We start from the raw sequence: 22309 nt of genomic DNA on the forward strand, positions 1-22309 counted from the left end.
AGGAATGGTATTGTAATAGATCATGCTAGAAAATTTTTAGGAGTGATACATTCTCAAATACAGGAAGTTCATCAAATACCAGGTAAAAGAAGTAAAAGTAAATCCACAATTAGAGGCATCTTCATGAAACTGCACAAAACAGAAGACCAAGGAAAGATCTTAAAAGCAGCAAAAGAGAATTACCCACAAAGTAACAATTAGATTGACAAATTGACAGATATCTTCTCTTTTTCCTTTTTATGTGTGTCTTAAAAAAAAAAAAAATATATATATATATATATATATATATATATATATATATATATAGTTAACAGTCCTGTGTGTGGAGGGTTGACTTTCAGTAGATCACAGCGAGGGAGCTGCTCTGCTCCAGAAGCAGTTCCTCCAAGAATGGTTTAGCACCAGGGACCACACAAATGAGCATTGCCTTATGGGCAAGTGGGCTGTGATATGGTTGGCTTTCTGTCCCCACCCAAATCTCATCTTGAATTATAATATCCAGGTGTTCAGGGAGAGACCTGGTAGGAACTGATTGGATTAAAGAGGTGGTTTTCCTCATGTTGTTCTGATAGTGAGTTGTCACGATATCTGATGATTTTATAAGTGTTTGACATTTCCTCCTACACAACACTCTTCTCTCTCCTGCTGCCTCGTGAAGAAGATGCCTACTTCCCCTTCATCTTCTGCCATGATTGTAAGTTTCCTGAGGCCTCCTAGGCATGCAGAACTGTGAGTCAATTGGACTTATTTCCTTTATAAATTGCCCAGTCTCAGGTACTTTTTTTGTTTTTGTTTTTGTTTTGAGACAGAGTCTCACTGTGTCACCCAGGCTGGAGTGCAGTGGTGTGAGCTCAGATCACTGCAACCTCGACTTCCTGGTTTCAAGCGATTCACCTGCCTCAGCCTCCCTGGTAGCTGGGATTACAGGCACCCGCCACCATGCCTGGCTAATTTTTGTATTTTTAGTAGAGACAAGGTTTCACCATGTTGGCCAGGCTGGTCTTGAACTCCTAACCTCAAGTGATCTGCCCTCCTTCCCAAAGTGGTGGGATTACAGGTTTGAGCCACCGTACCCAGTCTAGAATCTTTAACCCACAAAGTTCTTTGAAGAGTCATCTGTGTGAAATAAAGCCATTTTCAGATAAACAAACTAACAGTTTTCTACCAACAGAAAATCTAGTGAAGTAAAATCATTAAGGAAGAGAAGATCTCTCCAGAAGGACAGTGTGCTATGCAAAAGGAAAGCGTGCTATGCAAAAGGAAATAGTTAAATGAATTGTAACTATTGGGTAAAAAGTTTGCCTATATTAGGCTGGGCGCAGTGGCTCATGCCTGTAATCCCAGCACCTTGGGAGGCCAATGTGGGCGGATCACAAGGTCAGGAGATTGAGACCATCCTGGCTAACACAGTGAAACCCCGTCTCTACTAAAAATAAAAAAAATCATCTGGGCGTGGTGGCGGGCTCCTGTACTCCCAGCTACTCTGGAGGCTGAGACAGGAGAATGGCATGAACCCAGGAGGTGGAGCTTGCAGTGAGCCGAGATCACACCACTGCAATCCAGCCTGGGTGACAGAGCAAGACTCTGTCTCAAAACAAACAAACAAATAAAAATTGCCTATATTAGATGATGATAAGATAGTATTTATGAAGTTAACAAAAAAACATAACTAAAATATGAGAACAAGTCCAAGGAGGTTGAAACATTTGAAATGTCCTAAGGTTCTTGTACTGTTGGGAGAGAGGGTTAGGATATTAACTATACACATTTTTAATTATGCAAAGTAAATTTCAAAATAGCCACTAAATTATTGGAATTCATAACTTCTAAACCAGAAGAAAAGAAAAAATAGAATAAGAAAAAATTAAGACACTTTTTTTTAAAGGCAAGAAAGGCCAAAACAATAAAAAACCATAGGAAAAGTGGAACAGATAGGAAGAAAAAATTTGGATGATAGAAACAAGCCCAAAATAAACAAATAATTACATGTAAATGAACTGAGGTTACTGGTTAATGATAGACCAAAAAGTCAGCCATATTTCATTTACAAGACACACTAAAACATAAGAGCACAGAAAGGTTAAAGATAAAAAGTTGAAAAAAAACTCTTAGAGGTAACTATTAACTAAAATAAATTTGTGGAAATTAACATTTAACAAAGACTTTTCAAGATAAAATGCCTTATTAGGGCTAGATATGGTCATCATTTAATGATAAAAGGGTACGCCTTGGACAATAGCTGTCTGTTGCCTATAATCCCAGCACTTTGGGAGGCTGAGGTTGGAGGATCTCTTGAACCCAGGAGTTCAAGAGCAGCCTGGGCAATAAGCGAGACCTTGTGCTTATAAATAATTAAAAAATTAGCTGGGGGTGGTGGTGCACTCCTGTGGTCACAGCTACTTGGAGGCTGAGGTGGGAGAATCTCTTGAGCCCAGGCAGTTGAGCCTGCAGCTAGCGGAGATCCAGCCTGTGTGACAGAGCAAGACCCCATTAAAAAAAAAAAAGAAATTGGCCAGGCATGGTGGTGCATCATGCTGTAGTCCCAGCTACTAAGGAGGCTGACATGGGAGAATCACTTGAGCCCAGGAGTTCCAGGTTACAATGAGCTATCATCCGGCCACTGCTCGCTAGCCTGAGTGACAGAGCAAACCCTGTTTCCTTTCCCTTTTTTTTAATTCCCTACAAATGAACAATAACAAAACAAAAGGCTCAACTCAACAGAACTAGATAATTTTAAATTTACATGCAGGCCAGTGTGGTAATGGCCTGTAATCCCAACACTTTAGGAGGCCGAGGCAGGAGAATTGCTTGAGTCCAGGTGTTGGAGACCACCCTGGCCAACATAGCAAGACCTCATCTCTAAAAAAGAAAAAAGTAAAAACAAACAAACAAAAAAAACTTAAACACATTTAATAAAGTATCCCAAACTATAAATGGGAAAAATGAACAGAATTACAGGAAGAAATGAAGAAATCCATCATCATAGTACATTTAATACTGTTTCTCCCTCTCAATTATTGATAGCCAACACGTGTCAGTATGTCAGGAATACTTCTCCAAATCCTTACTTAAAGCAATCAATTTTAAGAGCACAAGGTGCCAATATTTTCTAATGAGTGTTCAAAAATGCTGGTGCAGTATGAAAGACAATGCACAAACCAAAACAGCTGTAGTACACACAGCATATCCGAATTCTGTGGAAAGCTAGTAAAAGGCATACAGGCGTTTCTTTTTTGAAAGTAACTTCCAGCCGTTCCAAGACAGCCGAATAGGAATAGCTCTGGTCTGCATCTCCCAGTGTGATCCATGCAGAAGACGGGTGATTTCTGCATTTCCAACTGAGGTACATGGTTCATCTGAGTGGGACTGCTTGGACAGTGGGTGCAGCCCATGGAGGGTGAGCTGAAGCAAGGTGGGTGGGGCATCGCCTCACCAAGGAAGCGCAAGGGGTTGGGGGATTTCCCTTTCCTAGCAAAGGGAAGCTGTGACAGACTGCACCTGGAAAAATGGGACACTCCCACCCAAATACCAGGCTTTTCCAATGGTCTTAGCAAACAGCACATCAGGAGATTATATCCCGTGCCTGGCTTGGCAGGTCCCATGCCCATGGAGCCTTGCTCACTGCTAGTGCAGCAGCCTGAGATGAACCTGAGAGGCAGCAGCCTGGCAGGGGAAAGGGCATCTGCCATTGCTGAGGCTTGAGTAGGTAAACAAAGCGGCCTAAAAAGCTCGAACTGGACGGAGCCCACTGCAGCTCAGCAAGGCCTGCTGCCTTTGTAGACTCCACCTCTGAGGGCAGGGCATAGCTGAACAAAAGGCAGCAGAAACTTCTGCAGACTTAAACATCCCTGTCTGACAGCTCTGAAGAGAGCAGTGGTTCTCACAGCACGGAGTTTGAGCTCTGAGAATGGACAGACTGCCTCCTCAAGCAGGTCCCTGACCCCCGTGTAGCCTAACTGGGAGAGACCTCCCAGTAGGGGCTGACTGACACCTCATATAGGTGGGTATCCCTCTGGGATGAAGCTTCCACAGGAAGGATCAGGCAGTAATATTTGCTGTTCTGCAATATTTGCGGTTCTGCAGCCTCCGCTGGTGATACCCAGGAAAACAGAGTCTGGAGTGGACCTCCAGCAAACTCCAACAGACCTGCAGCTGAGGGACCTGACTGTTAGAAGGAAAACTAACAAACAGAAAGGAATAGCATCAACATCAACAAAAAGGACATACACACCAAAACCCCATCTGTAGGTCACCAACATCAAAGACCAAAGGTAGATAAAACCACAAAGATGGGGAGAAACCAGAGCAGAAAATCTGAAAATTCTAAAAATCAGAGCGTCTCTTTTCTGAAGGATCACAGCTCCTTGCCAGCAACAGAACAAAGTTGGATGGAGAATGACTTTCACAAGCTGACAGAAGTAGGCTTCAGAAGGTTGGGAATAACAAACTTCTCTGAACTAAAAGAGGATGTTTGAACCCATCAGAAGGAAGCTAAAAACCTTGAAAAAAGATTAGACAAATGACTAACTAAAATAAACAGTGTAGAGAAGACCTTAAATGACCTGATGGAGCTGAAAACCATGCCACGAGAACTATGTGAGGCATGCACAAACTTAAATAGCCGATTCGATCAAGTGGAAGAAAGCGTATTAGTGATTGAAGATCAAATTAATGAAATAAAGCGAGAAAAGAAGTTTAGAGAAAAAAGAGTAAAAAGAAACAAACAAAGCCTCCAAGAAATATGGGACTATGTGAAAAGACCAAATCTACGTTTGATTAGTATACCTGAAAATCACGGGGAGAATGGAACCAAGTTGGAAAACACTCTTCAGGATATTATCCAGGAGAACTTCCCCAACCTAGCAAGGCAGGCCAACATTCAAATTCAGGAAATACAGAGAACACCAGAAGGATACTCCTCAAGAAGAGCAACTCCAAAACACATAATTGTCAGATTCACCAAGGTTGAAATGAAGGAAAAAATGTTAAGGGCAACCAGAGAGAAAGGTCAGGTTACCCACAAAGGGAAGCCCATCAGACTAACAGTGGATCTCCCAGCAGAAACTCTACAAGCCAGAAGAGAGTGGGGGCCAATATTCAACATTCTTAAAGAAAAGAATTTTCAACCCAGAATTTCATATCCAGCCAAACTAAGCTTCATAAGTGAAGGAGAAATAAAATCCTTTACAGACAAGCAAATGCTGAGAGATTCTGTCACCACAAGGCCTGCCTTACAAGAGCTCCTGAAGAAAGCACTAAACATGGAAAGGAACAACCAGTACCAACCACTGCAAAAACCTGCCAAATTGTAAAGAACATCAATGCTAGGAAGAAACGGCATTAACTAACAGGCAAGATAAACAGCTAACATCATAATGACAGGATCAAATTCACACATAACAATATTAGCCTTAAACGTAAATAGGCTAAATGCCCCAATTAAAAGACACAGACTGGTAAATTGGATAAAGAGTCAAAACCCATCAGTGTGCTGTATTCAGGAGACCCATCTCACACATAGGCTCAAAATAAAGCGATGGAGGAAGATCTACCAAGCAAATGGAAAGCAAAAAAAAGCATGCGTTACAATCCTAGTCACTGATAAAACAGACTTTAAACCAACAGACATCAAGAGAGACAAAGAAGGCCATTCAATGGTAAAGGGATCTATTCAATAAGAAGAGCTAACTATCCTAAATATAAGTGCACCCAACACAGGAGCACCCAGATTCATAAAGCAAGTCTTTAAAGAACTACAAAGAGACTTAGACTCCCACACAATAATAATGGGAGACTTTAACACCCCATTGTAAACATTTAGACAGATCAACGAGACAGAAGGTTAACAAGGATATCCAGGACTTGAACTCAGCTCTGCACCAAGCAGACCTAATAGACATCTACAGAACTCTCCACCCCAAATCAACAGAATATACATTCTTCGCTGGTACCACATCACACTTATTCCAAAACTGACCACATAGTTGGAAGTAAAGCACTCGTCAGCAAATGTGAATGAACAGAAATCACAACAAACTGCCTCTCAGACCACAGTGCAATCAAATTAGAACTCAGGATTAAGAAACTCACTCAAAACCACACAACTACGTGGAAACTGAACATCCTGCTCCTGAATGACTACTAGGTAAATAACGAAATGAAGGCAGAAATAAAGATGTTCTTTGAAACCAATGAGAACAAAGACACAATGTACCAAATTCTCTGGGAAACATTTAAAGCAGTGTGTAGAGGGAAATTTATAGCACTAAATGCCCACAGGAGGAAGCAGGAAAGATCTAAAATCGACACCCTAATGTCACAATTAAAAGAACTAGAGAAGCAAGATCAAACACAGTCAAAAGCTAGCATAAGGCAAGAAATAACTAAGATCACAGCAGAACTGAAGGAGATAGAGACCCAAAACACCCTCCAAAAAAAATCGATGAATCCAGGAGCTGTTTTTTTGAAAACATCAACAAAATTGATAGACCACTAGCAAGACTAATAAAGAAGAAAAGAGAGAAGAATCAAATAGATGCAATTAAAAAAGATGAAGTGGATATCACCACCGATCCCACAAAAATACAAACTACCATCAGAGAATACTATAAACACCTCTACGCAAATAAACTAGAAAATCTAGAAGAAATGGATAAATTCCTGGACATATACAGCCTTCCAAGACTAAACCAGGAAGAAGTTGAATATCTGAATAGACCAATAACAGGCTCTGAAATTAAGGCAATAATTAACAGCCTACCAACCAAAAAAAGTCCAGGACCAGTTGGATTCACAGCCGAATTCTACCAGAGGTACAAAGAGGAGCTGGTGCCATTCCTTCTGAAACTATTCCAAACAATAGAAAAAGAAGGAATCCTCAACTGATTTTATGAGGGCAGCATCATCCTGATACCAAAGCCTGGCAGACACACAACAAAAAGAGAATTTTAGACCAATTTCCTTGATGAACATGGATGAAAAATCCTCAATAAAATACTGGCAAACCGAATCCAGCAACACATCAAAAAGGTTATCCACCACGATCTAATAGGCTTTATCCCTGGGATGCAAGTCTTGAATCAATAAATGTAATCCATCACATAAACAGAACCAAGGACATAAACTCATGATTATCTCAATAGATGCAGAAAAGGCCTTCGGCAAAATTCAACAGCCCTTCATGCTAAAAACTCTCAATAAACTAGGTATTGATGGAATGTATCTCAAAATAATAAGAGCTATCTATGACAAACCCACAGCCAATATCATACTGAATGGGCAAAAACTGGAAGCATTCCCTTTGAGAACTGGCACAAGACAGGGATGCCATCACTCACCACTCCTATTTAACATAGCGTTGGAAGTTCTGGCCAGGGCAATCAGGCAGGAGAAGGACATAAAGGGTATTCAATTAGGAAAAGAGGAAGTCAAATTGTCCCTGTTTGCAGATGACATGATTGTATATTTAGAAAACCCCATCGTCTCAGCCCAAAATCTCCTTAAGCTGATAAGCAACTTCAGCAAAGTCTCAGGATACAAAATCAATGTGCAAAAATCACAAGCATTCCTAAACACCAATAACAGACAAACAGAGAGCCAACTTATGAGTGAACTCCCATTCACAATTGCTTCAAAGAGAATAAAATACCTAGAATCCAACTTACAAGGGATGTGAAGGACCTCTTCAAGGAGAACCACAAACCACTGCTCAATGAAATAAAAGAGGATACAAACAAATGGAAGAACATTCCATGCTCATGGGTAGGAAGAATCAATATCATGAAAATGGCCATACTGCCCAAGGTAATTTATAGATTCAATGCCATCCCCATCAAGCTACTAATGACTTTCTTCACAGAACTGGAAAAAACTACTTTAAAGTTCATATGGAACCAAAAAAGAGCCCACATTGCCAAGTCAATCTTGAGCCAAAAGAACAAAGCTGCAGGCATCATGCTACCTGACTTCAAACTATACTACAAGGCTACGGTAACCAAAACAGCATGGTACTGGTACCAAAACAGAAATATAGACCAATGGAACAGAACAGAGCCCTCAGAAATAATGCCACATATCTACAACTATCTGATCTTTGACAAACCTGACAAAAACAAGCAATGGGGAAAGGATTCCCTATTTAATAAATGGTGCTAGGAAAACTGGCTAGATATATGTAGAAAGCTGAAAGTGGATCCCTTCCTTACACCTTATACAAAAATGAATTCAAGATGGATTAAAGACTTAAATGTTAGACCTAAAACCATAAAAACCCTAGAAGAAAACCTAGGTAATACTATTCAGGACATAGGCATGGGCAAGGACTTCATGTCTAAAACACCAAAAGCAATGGCAGCAAAAGCCAAAATTGACAAATGGGATCTAATTAAACTCAAGAGCTTCTGCACAGCAAAAGAAACTACCATCACAGTGAACAGGCAACCTACAGAATGGGACAAAATTTTTGCAACCTACTCGACAAAATGTTTGCAACCTACTCATCTGACAAAGGGCTAATATCCAGAATCTACAATGAACTCAAACAAATTTACAAGAAAAAAACAACCCCATCAAAAAGTGGGCAAAGGATATGAACAGACACTTCTCAAAAGAAGACATTTATGCAGCCAAAAAACACATGAAAAAATGCTCATCATCACTGGCCATCAGAGAAATGCAAATCAAAACCATAACGAGATACCATCTCACACCAGTTAGAATGGCAATCATTAAAAAGTCAGGAAACAACAGGTGCTGGAGAGGATGTGGAGAAATAGGAACACTTTTACTGTTGGTGGGACTGTAAACTAGTTCAACCATTGTGGAAGTCAGTGTGGCAATTCCTCAGGGATCTAGAACTAGAAATACCATTTGACCCAGGCATCCTATTACTAGGTATATACACAAAGGATTATAAATCATGATGGTATAAAGACACATGCACACGTATGTTTATTGCGGCACTATTCACAATAGCAAAGACTTGGAACCAACCCAAATGTCCAACAATGATAGACTGGATTAAGAAAATGTGGCACATATACACCATGGAATACTATGCAGCCATAAGAAAGGATGAGTTCATGTCCTTTGTAGGGACATGGATGAAGCTGGAAACCATCATTCTGAGCAAACTATCGCAAGGACAAAAAACCAAACACCCCATGTTCTCACTCATAGGTGGGAATTGAACAATGAGAACACAGGGACACACGAAGGGGAACATCACACACCGGGGACGGTTGTGGGGTCGGGGGAAGGGGGATGGATAGCATTAGGTGATATACCTAATGCTAAATGACGAGTTAATGGGTGCAGCACACCAACATGGCACATGTATACATATGTAACAAACCTGCACGTTGTGCACATGTACCGTAAAACTTAAATAATAATAAAAAAAATCAAAATAAAATAGAAGTTGAAGAAAAGGAAGAAAAACAAAGTCAGGAAACAACAGAAGCTGGATAAGATGTGGAGAAATAGGAACACTTTTACATTGTTGGTGGGAGTGTAAAGTAGTTCAACCACTGTGGAAGACAGTGTTGTGATTCCTCAAGGATCTAGAACTAGAAATAGCATTTGACCCAGTGATCCCATTACGGGGTATATACCCAAAGATTATAAACACACATGCACACGTATGTTTATTGGGCACTATTCACAATAGCAAAGACTTGGATCCAACTCAAATGTCATCAACGATAGAGTGGATTAAGAAAATGTGGCACATATACACCATGGAATACTATGCAACCATAAAAAAGGATGAGTTCATGTCCTTTGTGGGGTCATGGATGAAGCTGGAAACCATTATTCTGAGCAAAGTATCACAAGGATAGAAAACCAAACACCGCATATTCTCACTCATAGGTGGGAATTGAAGAATGAGAATACCTGGACACAGGGCAGGGAACATCACACACAGGGGCCTGTCATGGTGTTGGGGGAGGGGGGAAGGATAGCATTAGGAGAAATACCTAATTTAAATGATGAGTTAATGGGTGCAGCAATCCAACCTGGCACATGTATATCCATGTAACAAACCTACACGTTGTACACATGTACCCTAGAACTTACAGTATAATTTTTTTAAAAAAAGTAACTTCCAATATTTTTACTATTAGCACTCTCCGAAGAAGTGTTTGTGGTGGCGGTGGTGGTGGTGGGGAGGGTGGCCTGTGTGTGTGGCGAGGAGAGGGGGCGGGTACAGGGCTGGACCTTGAGATAGATAAGGCAAACAGGAAGGAAATGTGAACATTTCATTAATATTCATTTAAAAAATATTCATTGAACACTTACTACGTGTAAGCAGGCACTCTACTAATTAACAGCCATTTCAGATTTTCAGAGTGCAAAGGGCCTCAAGAACAAATGATTTATTTTTTTGAGACATGGTCTCGTTCTGTCTCACACCCTGCAGTGCAGTGGCATTATCACCGCTCACTGTAGCCTCCACCCCCTGCCCCACAGCTCAAGTAATTCTCTCACCTCAGCTTCCCCAGTAGCTGAAACCACAGGCTTGGGCAACCACGTCTGGCTCATATTTTTATTATTTGTAGAGACGGGGGTCTTGCAACATTGCCCAGGCTGGTCTGGATCTCCTGGAACCGCCTTTGCAAAATTATAACTGAGGAAATTATGGCAGTGAAAGAAATCAGACCTAACGGATTCCATCTTGCTTCTAACTTTTGTTTTTGAGACTAGTCTCGCTCTGTCGCCCAGGGTGGAGTGCAGTGGCGTGATCTCTGCTCACTGCAAGCTCCGCCTCCCGGGTTTAAGCCATTCTCCTGCCTCAACCTCAGGAGTAGATGGGACTACAGGCGCCCACCCCCACGCCCGGCTAATTTTTTGTATTTGTAGTAGAGACGGGGTTTTAGCCAGGATGGTCTCGATCCCCTGACCTCGTGATCCGCCCGCCTTGGCCTCCCAAAGTGCTGGGATTACAGGCGTGAGCCACCGGCCGCTTCTAACTTTTAAGCTGTCCTTCTTCATTCCTGAGCCTAGGCTGAACCAATTTAGGGAGGAATTCAGTTTATGGTTTGACTCTGAAACAAAATTGATAATATCCCTTTCCCAAAAAGACCGCTTTTTTGCCTGGGGACCAGTCTGCCTTTGCAGAACCAACAGATTAGCTACAAGATTAGAAATTACAGTTTAGAGGTCATGCAGCCTCTGGCTCCAAGTTTCTGAACCTCCCCAAATTGCTCCTGGGGATAACATCACTATTGTAAAACCTAAGATAAGTTCTTGAGATATTTTGCAGACCCTGCTCTCCATGGATCAGTTGAAACCACCCAGATTGGTAATTTGGCTCAACCAGTTCTGCCATCCTACCCAGGAACAGAAAACAGCAAGAAAAACTCACGTCTACCCACTATGAGTCCATCTCCAACCTGACCCATCAGCACTCCCTACTTCCCAAGCCCCTAATCGCCGAATTATCTTTAAAAACTCTGAATACTGCTTGGGGAGACTCCATTGCAAGTCCCCTGTCTTGATAAATGGGCTATCGGTCAGCAGCAGGCAAAGTGAACCACAATATTGGGTGGTTACACTCCTAGGATCAAGCAATCCTGCTGTCCGGCTTCCCAAAGTGCTGGGATTACAGGCGTAAGCCACCGCGTCCAGCTAGAACAAATGATTTCTTAAAAGCAACTCAGATATTTAAATATTATTTAAAACTGTTTCTAGACAAATCGGAGTGACTATGGGACAAGCATATGGTCGCAGGACTTTGGACGCAGGCAGTGAGGACACCTATGAGCGATCAGTGGGGTCCTACGGCAGCCGTGGAACTGCTCTGCCTTGCAGGCGAAAGTGTGGTCAGCTATATCGGAGCGCGATGGGGGCCTGAGAGGCGCATCTGCGCAGGCGCCCGGCTCCTAAGTCTACCCAGGAACTGACCCTGCTCTCTCCTTTCCCTGTTAGACATGGTAAGTGTGAGTTTAGCGCTGCTGTCCGGATGGGTTGGTAGCAGACAGGGTGGAGTAGGGTTAAGCACACTGGTCACCTTAGGATTGGTTTCCTGGTGCTGGAGAATGGTTAGGACACAGGCCTTGGAAGGTTTTTTGAGTGTGAAATATTACTCAGCGTTTTCTGCAGACCTCGCGGGCAATGCCGCTTCTAATTTTATCCAGGCCTTCTTCTGTAGGGAGGGCCTGTTAAGAGTTGAGCAGCCCGATTTCTGAACCCCTCTAAAAAGCTGTGGCTGATTGGTGGCTTTTTTTTTTCTTGGAGAGGGGGTGTCAAAGATTTCTTTAAAATCGTTAGTGATGTGGTCTCGCTTTAAGATTTTTAATGGGATCAGAAGAAAATTCGGTACTTAATCACTTCCGGTAATCTTCATGACCTGTTATAGTGACTGCAGTGTACTCTCAATGAGGAAGATATAGATACGAAAAGAACTAGAGCCGCATCACATGGGGACTTCTGCAAATACAGAGACTCGGATTAAAGGTGGAGAAGATGGAGCTAAAGGAACTGCTTATTTAATACATTTGAACAACTTTTGGGGTACTTAGAAGGTGCTTTGAAACCTGCATTTGATTAAGCAAGAATTCGCTTGCAAGTTAAGGGTTAGATTTTTTTATTTTTTAAAAATATGCTTTCTGCCACATGTAAACCGTAAGTTGTCCTGAAATGATAAGCTTTGATATTCTATGGTGTTTATTTTTTACTTATCTTTTTGAATGAAAAGTGAACAACAAGAAATGCTGGTGGTAATTTTTTGGGTCAATGATGAGTTGGCATGTATTCTGAATCTAAAGTTGATTATTACTACTTTAGCTCTAGAATTACTCTGAGACCTGAAAATTACCTGAATCGTGACTAAGACGAAGCCTGAATGATTTAAGTTCTTTTTTGTTGGATACAATTTGTTGTTGTTGTTGTTGTTTTGGTTTTGTTTTTGAGTCGGTCTCCGGTCGCCCAGGATGGAGTGCAGTGACACAACCTCAGTTCACTGCAGCCTTAATTTCCCTGGCTCAAGCGATCTTCTACCTCAGCCTCCCTAGTTAGTTACAATTTTTAAATGGAACGTTTTCCTATTACAAGATGAAATCAAGTGAAAATTGAGATGTATGTTGAATCTATGCTGTGGGGCAGAAGAACGTTGTAGAGGTAAACATTGATGAGATTACCACTTTATTTTGAAAGGGCACTCCACAGAAGGATGTTATTATCAAGTCAGATGCACCGGACACTTTGTTATTGGAGAAACATGCAGATTATATCGCATCCTATGGCTCAAAGAAAGATGATTATGTATGTATAATTTTTTTATGTTGGAAAGTTTATTTTAAAGAAGTGTGACAGTCATAAGCAGTGAGACAGTATTTATGTCTTAAAATGGCATCCAACTCCATGCAGAGAACTGAGGATGTGCTGTGCCTTTGAACTTCAGTTAAGTGTGCTTTGGACGTCTGAGGCTGTGGGCTTATTAGAATCTCAGTTTTTACCTATACTGAGAGGGCTTGCCAGACAAAGTAGATGAGGGTTTGAGGTACAAAACGGGTTTCTCTTTTTGTAGTTAGGGGTAATACTTTCAAGGTCAATGATGTGTTGGCATGTATTATCTGAATCTATTGCTGATGTGTAATAACACTTTAGCTCTAGAATTACTCTGAGACCTTGAAAAAGTTTTACCTTAAATTTTTAAATTTCGAGGAAAACTCTGGGACAATCTTAGCAAAAAGTAGTAAACAACTTAGTTAAGAGTAAATGTTTTTCCCTGTAGTATCCAAACTCAGTTGTCTTAGTCTACCGATTTGTGGGATATATGGTATGTATTAATTTTTTACTTAAGTGTTAGGTTCCCATAACCTTGAAAATACTCTATTAGCAATCATGGAGTTAAGGCCATATGGATGGGGCTGGACTCGTTTCTGCCTTTATCTGCTATCTATCTTTATGCCCTGAATTTGGGTTAGTAGCAAACTAAGATGCACCACCTGTTAAAAAAACTTCTTTTTTTCCTTTTGAGAGCTATAACCTCACTTTGTTGCCCAGACTGGAGGACAGCGGTGCGATCTGGGCTCACTGCAGCCTCCATCTCCTGGGTTTAAGTGAGCCACCTGAATAGCTGGGATTACAGGCACATTCCACCATGCCCAGCTAGTTTTTGTATTTTTCGTAGAGACTGAGTTTTGCTATGTTGGCCAGAGTGGTCTCAAACTCCTGACCTCAAGTGATCTGCCTGCCCCAGCTTTCCAAAGTGCTGGGATTACAGGCAGGAGCCACCACCCAGCCACAAAACTTCTTAAAATATAATGCATTGTTGAGTGTGGGAAAAATTTGTTTCTGGAATCCTAATACTAATTTTCATGTATCATTGATTAGCCACTGTTTTATCTGGGCTTAAACATCTTTGGCATGTTTAGGGCATTTTGATTTTTCATGTAGTTATATAATTTACTAATAGATAATAGGTTTTGTACAGAGTCCACATTAAAATAGATGTCTGATAAATATGGTATAGGTACTCGGAAAGAAATACTCTCCCTGAACTTCACTGATGAAAAAGGTAGATGTTTTTCTGTCTCTGGCTCATGGGAGAAACTAAAGCACTGTTTGTATTGTCAGCCATAGATTAACTAATCCTGTGCTTCTCAGATAATTGTTTTTTTCTGATAATAGTTGTGTCTGAAGATGGCTTCTAACATTGAGCAGCACAGATTTTAAACTCACTACTGATCAGTGCTGTTAAGGTCAGGAGAGGTAAAAATAGCAGCATGGCTAATGAGTTACCTTTGTGTTTAATCTCTTTATAACTTGTTACCAGTTCAAATGACAGATTTAAGAAATTGTGTATTATTTTAGGAATACTGTATGTCTGAGTATTTGAGAATGAGTGGCATCTATTGGGGTCTGACAGTAATGGATCTCATGGGACAACTTCATCGCATGAATAGAGAAGAGATTCTGGCATTTATTAAGTCTTGCCAACATGAATGTGGTGGAATAAGTGCTAGTATCGGACATGATCCTCATCTTTTATACACTCTTAGTGCTGTCCAGGTAAATACTAATCAAAATTGCAACGATCTTGATAGTATGTTCTCTTACTTCAGAGTTGGAAATTGAAACTGTATCAGGATTTGGTCAAAAAGTTTTGTTACAAGTGAAGCTGTCCTACAAGGTCAATGATGTAATGGCATGTATTAGCTGAATCTAAAGTTGATGTGAGTTCTAAAATTACACTGAGACCTTGGAGGGTAAAATTTTTATCTTCAGTATGTGTAAATACTGTAAAATAGCTAAATGGAGCTATTTGATTTTGATATTAGTGAACATCTACCTGGTGGTTTAAAGTCTTTCTGGTACTACTGGGTGCTGAGATGGGAAGATCAGGACTTTGTGTGGATGTGAGTTAGTATACTTGAGTATCTTGGAATGCCAAGTTAAAATTTATATGTAGAAAATTATACTTTAAAGATTTGAGTTTTCTTGATACTATCTAATTTTATTCAATAACAGGAGAGTCTGCATATTTGAGAAAAGGTTATATACACAGAGACAAAAGGATGTGCTTGACAACTTAAAAAGAGTTGAGCATAAGATCATTAGAATAAACCTGAAAGGGACATTTACCTAATACTTGTCTTTATTGCAGATTCTTACGCTGTATGACAGTATTAATGTTATTGACGTAAATAAAGTTGTGGAATATGTTAAAGGTCTACAGAAAGAAGATGGTTCTTTTGCTGGAGATATTTGGGGTAATGTCAGATTTAGTCCATTCTACCCAAAATACCAATATTAAAATGTACTGGTTTTGCTAGTAACCAGTTTATAAGTTTTTCATCTTTTCAGGTCCCACTAAGCAGCTGGTCTAACTGGAGTTAATGGTCTGCTGGAACTTCCAGCATGCACTGTGGTAGTTATATCAGCATATACAGGAGCACTGGAACAGAGGGGGCCAGTCTAAAAGATAAGGTAGGTGGAATTTTTTTCCCCAATATTTGGTGGCTTTGTAAAGTTTTTTAAAAACTACTTGCTGGAAAGGGAAAAATATTTAAAAAAAAAAACTTTACAAACTTGCTGAATATTTGAGTGGAGGGAGGGAATAGAATTTTATTTGATAAACGTAGATAATCTCTGCTTTAGGGATGAACACAGTGCAGGCCAGAGAGACCAGCTGCTTCATGGGATGTGAAAAATCTACTTTTATAAAGTAGGGTAAGTTTATTTCATTATTAGAAATGGACTAATACTTTGGGTTCTATTAGTTTTCTTCTCTTTGGTTTTCTTCTCTTTCTGGGCTTTCTTTAAGCAGCTTAAGATAATTTGCTGTTACTTTTTTGTGGCAGGGTCTTGGCTCTGTCCAGGTTGGAGTGCAGTATTTTGGGAGACAGTTGCTGGGGCTGGAGAGCTCTGTTGCCCAGGCTGGAGTGCAGTGGTGCAATCTTGGCTCACTGCAACCTCCACCTCCCAAGCTCAAGCAATTCTCCTGCCTCAGCTTACAGAGTAGCTGAGATGTGCACCACAACACCTGGCTGGTTTTTGTGTTTTTAGTAGAGATGGGGTCCCCTGGCCTCATGTGATCCTCCTGCCTCGGCCACCAAAAGTGCTGGGATTTCAGGCCTGAGCCACAATGCCCAGCCCCACCTAATTTTTTTTAAAAAGTTTTTTGTAGAGATGGGGTCCCATTATGTTGCCTCGGCTAGTCTCAAACTCCTAGGCTCAAGTGATTCTCCCACCTCAGCCTCCCAAAATGTTGGAATTATAGGCAAGAGCTACTGTGCCTGGTCAATTTGCTGTTATTTTTGACAAAGGAATTTTCTTGGGAAGTAAAGGCACTTCAGATTTAGCTTTCCTCCTGACTACCCTAAAGTGAAAGTTAAGCTTGAACTCAATTTAAAGTGGTAGTTGTGCAGTGTTTGTTTTTAGATGACTCATGTATGATTTGGTAACACCTGCCTTGATTTGATCTATTTTTATTGTAGGAGAAATTGACACAAGATTCTCTTTTTGTGCGGTGGCAACTTTGGCTTTGTTGGTAAGCTTTGAATATTTGATTGAAATGATTAAAGTTCATGAATACTCTGGAATTTTTTTTTTTTTTGAGTCTGATCTGCTGAATACTCTGGAATTTAACAGGCATCTTTTTTTTTGTTTGTAGGGGAAGCTTGATGCTATTAATGTGGAAAAGGCAATCGAATTTGTTTTATCCTGTATGAACTTTGACGGTGGATTTGGTTGCAGACCAGGTTCTGAATCCCATGCTGGGCAGGTAATTTATGAATACAGATGAAAATGTATTGTCATTTTGGAAGCCAGTGTAGTAAAATAAGAAAATTGGTTATTTCAGTGTTTGTCAAATACACATAAAGTTAATTCGACTGTAATAGGGCATCTTACATAAGAATTGCTTAATTGCTATCATTACTTTGCTTTATATACTATATACCTTTCTCTGTCGGTGGATTCGTCTGACCTAAGCAAACATAAGTGGGTTTATAAGCACCAAAACACTTTTGTTTTCCATTAATTTTTCACTAACCATACAGATAAAAAAAAAAACAACACATTTTTCTTTCTTTCCTAAGATAAATTATGAACCTCTTTTCTTGTGCCAGAGAACACTGAATATGTGAATGGATGGCTGTGAAATACTAGCCATGAAGAAATTTTGACAATAATATTTCAGTGCAGAATTGCATACTAGTAATAGTATGCTTGGATTTTTTCAGATATGTGGTATTAATACATGTTTGGAATTTTAAGTGTCAGATCAAGAAGAAAAACTTAAGATATAAAGTGGTGTTTTAATAATTTGAGTTTTATCACTTTTAATGTCAAGAAATTATTATACACATAAACTTTATGTCTGTAATTTTAGATCTATTGTTGCACAGGATTTCTGGCAATTACAAGTCAGTTGCATCAAGTAAATTCTGATTTACTTGGCTGGTGGCTTTGTGAACGACAATTACCCTCAGGCGGGCTCAATGGAAGGCCGGAGAAGGTATTGTTTGATAAGCCATATTCTGCTAGCTTTAGAACCTTGAGTGAATGCTGCTGCTTTGTCTTGCCTGTTTCTATATTGTAAATTGGCCATGAGCTTATTTATTACCTTTCCCTGTTGTGAATTTTCAGTAATATATCCTACTAAAAGACTCCCCTTGACAAAGTAGACCCCCATGAGTTGAAATACTCATTGATCCTAATGTCCATTTCCAGACAGTCTTGTACAGGAATCTCCATGTTTAAGGACAGTTGATTTTGGCAAATTGGATTTTTTAAAAATTAGACTACAGAATTTTTGTTTGCAATCTTCTTATTTAAGGAATACCCAGATAATTTGGTTTGGAGAGAAGATTATTAAATTTTCCTCCACATAATAGGTCTCTCTTATCAGGTCTGTAAGGGACAAATAGTGAATACTCATTTGCAACTATGTAATTGTCCTGTAGAGCAAGTGCAGCCATAAGTGGTAAGAAATGAATGAGTATGGCTGTGTTCCAATTACAATTATTATGGATGGATATACTTGTATTTCCTATGTCAGATGGAATCTTGCTCTGTTGCCCAGGCTGGAGTGCAGTGACGCCATCTTGATTCACTGCAACCTCCGCCTCCCAGGTTCAAGCAGTTCTGCCTCAGCCTCCCAAGTAGCTGGGACTACAGGCGCACGGCTAATTTTTGTATTTTTATTAGAGACGGGGTTTCACCATATTGGCCAGGCTGGTCTCAAACTCCTGACCTCGTGATCTGCCTGCATCAACCTCCCAAAGTGCTGGGATTGTAGGCGTGAGCCACCGTGCCTGACCCAGGACTATATTTAAATGATTTATAAATGTAAAAACTATTCCTACACTATAGATTTGACTCAAGGATTGTAGCTTGCTGTGCCCCTGCCCTCTGAATGGGACGTGGTGGTACAGTAGCTGGGATTACAGTCATACACCACCACGCCCATCCAATTTTGTATTTTTAGTAGAGATGGGGTATCACCATGTTCATCAGGCTGATCTTGAACTCCTGACCTCAGGTGATCTACCCGCCTCAACCTCCCAAAGTGCTGGGATTACAGGCGTGAGCCACTGTGCTCGGCCTGTATTTTTATTTTTAAACCTTAGTATTTCTGAATAACAACGGGTAGAGAAACACCCGCAGTAGCTGTCTACAATAGAGTGAAATAAAAAGCCTGAGGAACTGTCAACAGAAAAATGGGTGGCCGTGGGGAGCACCGGGACCTGCACTTGCACACAATCTAGGGCAGCTTCTAATGAGTCTATGAGTTACTCAGGGATCTCATTAAAATGAGATCAGCCTTGAGTGGGGTTTTCTTTATAGACTTCTGTCACCATATTTTGAAGAGCAAGGGTTTAGTTGATTTTAAGCAGGTGTGTACCCCCCTGGACAGTGCTTGTAGAAAAACAGAACTATACCCATGGATTTCATGATTATACTGCTAGCTTCTTGGTTAAGGGGCTGAGTTAGGCATTCATTGCAGATAGAAACAAAGCAGATGCATGCTTATCAGTGAGTACTGAGATATTTAGCATGGTTACCTATGAATTGAAGTTTGGTCTCTTCTTACCCATTAATTGATTATCTTTCATTCTAAGCAAGTATTTCATACCCTGCATATCAGTATATCCCTGGATTTCGTCCTTCCACATGGTTTGACACTTTGAACATCAGATTACCTAAGAGTGAGACTTAACCCACTTTTAAATTGTTCTCAAAATTAGGGAAATAAAAGAGAATGAAATTGTGGCAACTTTTTTCCCTCCTAGTTACCAGATGTATGCTACTCATGGTGGGTCCTGGCTTCCCTAAAGATAATTGGAAGACTTCATTGGATTGATAGAGAGAAACTGCGTAATTTCATTTTAGCATGTCAAGATGAAGAAACGGGGGGATTTGCAGACAGGCCAGGAGATATGGCAAGTAATATTTCTGACATATTTCTATAAATTATTTCAGCGTTTGCATTACTTCATGGTTCCATGGATTTCCAGGGTGGCATTCCGAGTGTTGCTTTGAAAGCAGTTTTTTTTTCTATTTATTGTAGAGTGTATGAAGGATATAGAACAATCTTACAGAAATTTCTTGTCGCTTGTTGCTAACAAAATTAGTATATGGTAAAGGTCAGGTATTCATAATTTGAAGTTAAAGAAGTTTTCATTTTGTGATCTGTATATAAATTCTTTTTTAAATAGGTGGATCCTTTTCATACCTTATTTGGAATTGCTGGATTGTCACTTTTGGGAGAAGAACAGATTAAACCTGTTAATCCTGTCTTTTGCATGCCTGAAGAAGTGCTTCAGAGAGTGAATGTTCAGCCTGAGCTAGTGAGCTAGATTCATTGAATTGAAAGTTGCATAGTATAGTTTTGCCATTTTAACATTTCTGTATTTGAAGTGCTTATCGAATCTAAAAGTGACTACTGTTAATATTTTGTATATTGTGTTAAATTAATTTTAATAAATTATATAATTATACATATTGTAAAATAAAGACCGGTATTTTATTTTCTGCTTTTTATTCTGAAGTCCTGTTATTCTGACTACAGTTCTTTGTGTATACTTCTGTGTCTGTTATGTTCAATAACTGAGCTAACATAAAATAACTCTAGGTTTCTACTTGATTTTTCCCCCATGTATACCTTTCATCTGTTCTATAGCAAGTTGATGTAAATTGGTTTGTCAACAAGAATGTTAACTGATGAAAGTGGATAGAACCCATACATGAATTAAATGATGCACAAAATAAATGGCTGTTGAAATTTGGAAATGATTGATAGGTTTGAATATGGTTATTCTGAATTGGTCACAGACTTAGGTTAAATGGCAATCTACCATCTTAAAATGGGGTTGTGATTCGGACTGTCCTTTTTTTTTTTTTTTTTTTTTTTTTTTTTAGCATTTTATATATCAGAATTACCCAAAGAAGGAGTTGTCTTCAAATAAGGAAACACTAACGGGTAAGTTGATGGTCACCACAGTATTTTTTTGCACCTGTCTTTTTCTTAAAAAGCTAAAATGGGTACAATCACTCTTTTTTATTTTTTTGTGACAGAATCTCTGTTGCCCAGGCTGGAGCGCAGCAGCACGATCTCAGCTTAACTGCAACCTCCGTCTGCCGGGTTTAAGCAATTCAGCCGCAGCCTCTCGAGTAGCTGGGACTACAGCCGCACACCACCATGCCCGGCTAATTTTTATGTTACTTTAGTACAGACAGGGTTTCACCATGCTGAGGAGCTGGAGACCAGCCTGACCTTGTGATCCACCCACCTCGGCCTCCCAAAGTGCTGGGATTACAGGCGTGAGCCACCACGCCTGGCCTAAAATGAGTACAATCACTCTAGGGGTTTACAGTTTTGGTGAAAGTGAGGTATTCTCTATTTTTAAATTTTATTTTTTAGAGACAGGGTCTTCCTTTCTTCCCCAGGCTGGGGCATAGTAGTGCAATCACAGCTCACTGTAACCTTAAACTCCTGGGCTCAAGCAGTCCTTCCACCTCAGCCTCCTGAGTACCAGGGTCTACAGGTACCTGCCACCATGCCCACTATGCCCAGCTGATTTCTTAATTTTGGGGACAGGCACTGTCTTCCCCAGGCTGGTCTCCGGAGGTGAAGTAATCCTCTGGCCTCAGTCTCCCAAAGTACTGGGATTACAGGGAGGAGCCATCGTGCCCGATCTGAAAATAAGGTTTTTTGATGGAAATTGAGATTTTTCTCAAGTATGTTTGGAATGCCCTGTGCAATAATCATTCCAAGAACAGAGATGTTCTTAAGGACTGTTGTCACTGCATGTGGGTAAACCGCTGTGCATAACTGGTTTATTGAGATACTCAACAGTGGCAGGATTTCAGTAGTGGTGTAAATTAATGTCTTCTAATAGCTTCTGTATGGCAGTATCCAGATAATTTCGTCATGTTTAATCCATGGATCTCTGGTAAGTTGGTACTATTGGCCTTATTTAAGGAATTTTCTAAAGGTCACCACTGCAAAGCTGGAGTTTGAACTTCTAGTGTGCCATTAACTGATTTATATGTTAGAAACCACAGTACTAGAAATTGGTAGATGGGGAATTGTTAACTGAGAGATCTTACCCAGTCAGTCTTTCCCTGTTTCCTACTCTACTATGCACACAGCCATGTGCATACTATCTTTTGATAATATAACTATCTTTCCTATATTTGGTCACAAGATCAACCTTAGGTGGGTTATGCTGTGTGAGCATTACACGTTCTCATTGTGTCAAAGGCACTGGGTGTACTGTGTTGGGTGGTTTCTACATTTAAAGATAAGCTAGTGTGCTTGGACGTGTGGGAAATGCATGTAACATTTGCAATAAGG

General features: G+C 40.2%; 1 protein-coding gene and 3 non-coding genes across 5 annotated transcripts, besides 3 other annotated features; all 4 read left to right on the forward strand.

Moving 5' to 3' along the window:
* Window positions 10497–10716: an enhancer, noted in NCBI's record as "active region_1207". NCBI's record gives its function as "activates an Ori minimal core promoter by ATAC-STARR-seq in GM12878 lymphoblastoid cells {active_cell/tissue: GM12878}" and the evidence as "EXISTENCE:reporter gene assay evidence [ECO:0000049][PMID:35858748]".
* Window positions 11657–11886: an enhancer, noted in NCBI's record as "active region_1208". NCBI's record gives its function as "activates an Ori minimal core promoter by ATAC-STARR-seq in GM12878 lymphoblastoid cells {active_cell/tissue: GM12878}" and the evidence as "EXISTENCE:reporter gene assay evidence [ECO:0000049][PMID:35858748]".
* RABGGTB (Rab geranylgeranyltransferase subunit beta) lies at window positions 11853–20749 on the forward strand. Of its 2 annotated transcripts, NR_073562.1 has the most exons (11): window positions 11853–11933; window positions 13156–13263; window positions 14818–15015; window positions 15611–15716; window positions 15811–15933; window positions 16105–16176; window positions 16944–16996; window positions 17120–17230; window positions 17840–17965; window positions 19743–19892; window positions 20169–20749. NR_073562.1 is itself a non-coding variant. In NM_004582.4 (9 exons), exons 1-9 carry the CDS (start codon window positions 11931–11933, stop codon window positions 20307–20309), a joined length of 996 nt encoding a protein of 331 aa, NP_004573.2. In that variant the 5' UTR covers window positions 11915–11930; the 3' UTR covers window positions 20310–20745. The 2 variants fall into 2 exon arrangements, 1 of the variants encoding a protein (NP_004573.2); NM_004582.4 differs by lacking the exons at window positions 15811–15933; window positions 16105–16176 and having other exon boundaries at window positions 11915–11933; window positions 20169–20745.
* Window positions 11947–12006: a silencer, noted in NCBI's record as "silent region_998". NCBI's record gives its function as "represses an Ori minimal core promoter by ATAC-STARR-seq in GM12878 lymphoblastoid cells {active_cell/tissue: GM12878}" and the evidence as "EXISTENCE:reporter gene assay evidence [ECO:0000049][PMID:35858748]".
* SNORD45C (small nucleolar RNA, C/D box 45C) lies at window positions 12731–12808 on the forward strand. The gene has a single exon (NR_003042.1). It is a non-coding gene; the product is annotated as a small nucleolar RNA, C/D box 45C (small nucleolar RNA).
* SNORD45A (small nucleolar RNA, C/D box 45A) lies at window positions 13548–13631 on the forward strand. The gene has a single exon (NR_002749.1). It is a non-coding gene; the product is annotated as a small nucleolar RNA, C/D box 45A (small nucleolar RNA).
* Window positions 15136–15206, forward strand: SNORD45B (small nucleolar RNA, C/D box 45B). The gene is given in 1 exon segment (NR_002748.1): window positions 15136–15206. It is a non-coding gene; the product is annotated as a small nucleolar RNA, C/D box 45B (small nucleolar RNA).

Source organism: Homo sapiens, chromosome 1 (assembly GCF_000001405.40).
Source record: "Homo sapiens chromosome 1, GRCh38.p14 Primary Assembly".
In the NCBI taxonomy this organism is placed as follows: domain Eukaryota; kingdom Metazoa; phylum Chordata; class Mammalia; order Primates; family Hominidae; genus Homo; species Homo sapiens.